The sequence below is a fragment of the Homo sapiens genome, chromosome 12, assembly GCF_000001405.40.
Source record: "Homo sapiens chromosome 12, GRCh38.p14 Primary Assembly".
Classification (NCBI taxonomy): domain Eukaryota; kingdom Metazoa; phylum Chordata; class Mammalia; order Primates; family Hominidae; genus Homo; species Homo sapiens.
The window spans coordinates 34151921-34157290 of NC_000012.12; positions in this window are offsets into that span (position 1 = coordinate 34151921).

Genomic DNA, 5370 nt, shown 5'->3' on the forward strand with positions numbered 1-5370 from the left:
CCTCCTTGTCTGCTTCTGATCACCTCATGATCTTTCTTTTAATAAACAATAATTATAGTTGATATTAAAACATAAATGGCAAAATAATTATAATTTCTGAAGTTTCCTATTTGTGATAGCTTTTATTATATAATCATCCCTATGAAGACTTTACATTTTATAACTTTTACATAATTTGATTTTTAATGAAAAACTGTTTAACTCTGAGTTCTGACAATAAATTTTATAGTCTATTTCCAAATTCTTCTATAGATTAATAATTTGTTTTTATGAATGATTTTGACCTTGATATTTATTTTGGAAAGAGGAATTCTACAAGTTTTCTACCAGGTCAGGCCAATCACATTTTGTCATCCAGGATTTAGTATTTGGTGTTCCAATTAACAGGTGTACAAGATGATATGTCAAGTAACTGTGGGCCATATGTGCCCTAAATAATTCTAAATTATTTGATGAATATTTGATTTTCTTTAGTTTTTAAAAATTGTTAATTATAACTTGTTAGTTCATGTACAACTCTGAACTCATGCAATAAATTTAAATTCTGCAGCTGCTTACATATCTGGCTCATGGTAAAGGTGGATCTTTAGATGAAACAAACAATTTGGGAATTTATGACAGTTGGGAAAATAATTTCAGAACAAGCAGCAAGAAGGAGAAGTCAATGGTGGGGCAAAAGAAGAGAGATCAGAATCATAAGGGGCCGGAGGGAGAGCTGCATGCCAGGAGGCAACCGAAGGACTAGGAGGGGAAGGATTTACTAAAAAATGTCTCTAGTTTTTGTTGCTTCTGATTGTAAATTTTTTCATCTTTAGCCTCTTTAGCCACATAATATTTTAGTGGAGAAATGTTTAATTCAGAATTATATGTAGAGTTTTCTGCCTACCAAGTAAAAATACTGCCCATTGGACCTGAGAAATTTTTGTTTTCCTAAAGTGCCTCTCAAAGGAACAATGTTTCTCCAGTCAACATTCATTAATGTGGCCATTAAAGGCTCAAATAATCCTTGATGAAGAATGCTATTCAGATAAATAAGTGTAAGAATTGTAATTAAAGTGTATAGAAGTACCAATAGTTTTATCCTAAAATGAAGAGTGTTTAGAGTACAGTTTGTGTATAATCCTGTGCACCTAATATCTCAGCCCTAATGCAATGGTTGGCCATATCATAAAGCAGAAAAAAGCCTATGACCCTAGTGGGTATAAAACCAGAGAAAACATGCTCTATGGATTAAAGATGTTTTTTAACATGAAAAAAGTGAAAGGAGAATGTAACCAGTTTCACAGTAACTGACAGCAACGTTTATCCAAATTGATGCTGATCGAGGGAAAACCACTAACTGTCCCCTCTGTGAGGTTGGCTGAAACAATAGGCACAAAAGTCCTATGCCTATGGTCTACCCTGCTTGTTCTTATAAAAATATAACTTTAGGCATTGTAACACATAACAATAACACAAGGATAGCACAATGGGATGAAGATGGCCTGATTCTACCAAGAATGTCAATGAAATGGGGTCTACAAAGTCTAGGTACCAAACTGAGAATAAATAGCTGCAGAACTCCATAGAAAGAGAACAGAGTTCAGCTCCTGTGCTGACTTACCTCATCATCATGCACTTGACAAGTCAGGAAAAGCAAGGTAAAGGCACCTTCATGGGTGGTGCACATAGTCAAGGCTGTCACCTATGGCAGTGAGTAGTGCAGAATATATTTCAGTGGAATCTTCATGTGACCATGAAAATTAGAAGACCACCTGAGGTAAGTGCCCTATTCAACTGTACCATTTTTAAATCTTTTATAACAATTTTACTGTGCCTTTTCTGTTTATGTACACAAATGCTGACCACTGTGTTACAATTGCCTGCAGTATTCAGCATGGTAACATGCAGTACTGGTTTGTAGTTTAGGAGCAATAGGCTGTACCATATAGTCTAGGTCTGTGATAGGCTATACCACCTAGGTTTGTGTGAGTACATTCTATGAAGTTCACACAACAATCATACTACACAATGGTGCATTTCTCAAGATATATCCCCATTATTAAAAATGCATGATTATTTAAAAAATATAATGGATGTTGAGAGAGTAAAATTGCTATCTACTTTTTCATACCATGTAACCCCAAAACTTTGTGGCATGAAATCACAATATTTATTACCTAATCGAGTTTCTGAAAATGAGAAATTCAAGAACAATTTATCATGGTGGTTGTGCCTCAGGACATCTCATGTGGTTACAGTCAGATTTCAATTGGGGCTGTCATCCAAGGCTTGACCAAAACTAGAAGATCCACTTTCAAGTTTGCTAACATTCACGGCCTGCAAATTGGTGGGATTTGTAATTGAAGGCCTTGGTTTTCTCCACATGGATATTTTTGTAGGGCTGCTTGACTGTTCTCACCAAATAGCGGCTGGTTTCTTCCAGAGTGAGTGGCTTAGGAAAAAGCAACGCATTAGTGGCAAAATCTTTTATGATCTAGACTCAGAAGTCACACGTGGTCACTTCCATTACATTCTATTCACCAGAAAGGATTTTTAAGCTTGACATACCTTCAAGAAGAAGAGAATTAGGGTCTATGAAAGGACTTCAGTAAGTTTGTGAAAAAATGAAAGTAAAACACAAAAATAAAATATATAAACTTTATTTCTCAACATAAGCTTCATCAAGTTCAAGACACTTTTATAAGCAATAATACCAGCCTTTAGTCTATCCCTACAAAAAGTAAGGTCCTGGGAATTTAACCATGTCAAGAAAGTCTTTTCTACATTATTAATAGAAGAAAAATGGGTATCCTTTAAAGTTTTTTAAAATCTGAAAAGAAAAAGAAGTTAGAAGGAGCCAAATCAGGGCTAAGAGGTGGATGCTTAATAATTTTCCATGGAAACTCAGGCAAAATTGTCTTTTTTTAAGTGAGAGGAATGATGAGGAACACTGTTGTGGTGAAGAATTCTCTGGTGAAATTTTCTGGAAATTTTTCTTCTAAAGCTTTGGCTAACTTTCTCAAAATACTCCATAATAGCATGCGTTATTGGGGTTTTTGTTGGTTTGTTTTGGCCCTCTAGAAAGCCAGCAGGAAAAACGCCTTGAGCATCCTAAGACACTGTTGCTATGAGCTTTGTTCTAGACCAGTCACCTTTTGCTGAGACTGGACCACTTTTACCTCTTGGTAGCCATTGCTTTAATTGTGTTTTGTCTTGAAAATTTCACTGGAACAGCTGTGTTTGACTTCCTCACACAATTATTTGAAGAAATGCTTCAGGATCCTGATTACACTTACGTACAATTTCAGTTGAAAGCTCTGCTCTTGTCTGCAGCTGATCTAGGAACAAGAGTTTAACAAATTGAGATGGCTGTTGTGTTGACTGTTGTTTATACTGTTGTCATTCCTAAAGCAGGGCATGAACAAGATTAATTTCTTTTCTGGTGAATTAACATGAAATGTCTGCCACTGCAGGCTTTATCTCCAACACCTTATCATCCCTTCTTAAAATGTGTTATTCATTTGTATGCTTGTGAATGTTGGGGGGCATTGTCCTCATAAGTTATTATAAAGAATCAGTGATTTTACCATTCTTTCACCCCAAATTGCGAAAAATTTGACTTTTATTCTTGCTTTAATTTTAGCAGAATTCATTTTGCTCTAATAGGATCTCTTTTCAAAGTGGTGTCTTAGTTTCCTTATTATAATTCCTCAAATTAGATCCTGTTCAGACATGTTATAACAAAGTTAGTACAAATTAATTGCAAAATATTTTTGAAATCTATGCATAGTTTCTTCATAATATGCATTTCCCATGAACTTTTTGAAGATCCTTCATACTTTTTGAAGAGTGTCAAGTAAATTTTGAAGACATTTTTAAACTATTACAAGAAAATTATCTATAGAACTGAATTTCAGATTTATCAAGTTTGTGACAGGTATAATAACCAATGGAAATACCAGATGGGCAGCTTAGCTATTGAAATAGAATTAAATGATTATAGAGGTGTTCAGTAAAGACTTGCAGGCATTGAAAAAAGAATTTAAAAATTTAGAAATAAAATAACAGGATTATATATACCATTTAAGAGGAGAGATATCAGGAAAAAAAGAACAGGGAGAAGGACCAATAATAGCACATGTTATGTAAAATTTAAGGATAGTGAAGCCATTGCTGTTCTAGCACTGACATTTCTTTGTCAATAGTATCACTGAAACTCCTGCTCCCATTTCCAAAATCCTGTCTTTGTGAAGCAGGCTTTTTTTTTTTTTTTTGCAGTGACAGCAATCAGAGCACGATTATGAAGTAGACTGGACATAAGCACCACATTTTGGGTGTCACTGTCTCCCATCACCCCCTAATGGAACTGTCTAGTTGCAGGAAAACAAGCTCAGCGCTCCCACTGATTCTACATTATGGTGAGTTGTATAATTATTTCATTATATATTACAATGCAATACAATAAAGTATGAAATAAATGTAATATACTTGAATCATTCTGAAATCATTCCCCTGCCCAGTCCATGGATAAGTTGTCTTCCATGAAACTAGTCCCTGGTGCTGAAAAGATTGGGGACTGTTGCAATACAGAAAGAAAAATATAAAGAGAAGAAAACACAAAATCTATAACACCTTTAATAATATATGCACCGATGCTGTACAGAATACACTAATTACATTCATTTAAGTATCAACAAATACCTACAAACCAATACAAATGCCTAGAATTGTTTTAGGAGAACAGTGAATGAAAGAGCAAGAGAGAAAGATAGCAAATTAAAAATACACATGTATGATTATTAAAGCAAGACCCCATCTCTATAAAAAAAATCTACACATGCATGTCAAGTTGTAATGAGTACTAAGAACAAAAATGAAGAATGAGAGAAAAAGAGAGAGATAAGTTAATTCATGTAGAATGATCAAGGAAGTTTTTCTGCAATTACAATGGTTACCATCGCAGGTTTTAGAGTCAGTCAGATGCCAGTTTTAATCCTGGCTTTGCGTCTTATAGCTGGGTGTCCCGTGGACAATTTATTCCATTTTTAAATCTCAGTTTTCTAATTTCTAATTTCTAAATGTTTATTATTAGAAATAAAAGCACATGAAGAAACAAACATACATGAAAAATCAAGCACAGAAAAATGATGAGACTGTATAATGAATCAAGAATAATGGTTATAAAAATGGAGACAATAAAACTGACAAACTTATTAGATGATTCTGAATGTTAGGAGATAAATGTACATAAAGAATTTAGCATGTCATGTGGCATATAGTTAGCTCATGGTAACTACAATTATTATCCTCATATTACTAAGGGAAAATATGTATCATACTTGGGCTATGAGACATACTTTTTCAAATTATGCAAACACATAATTAAAG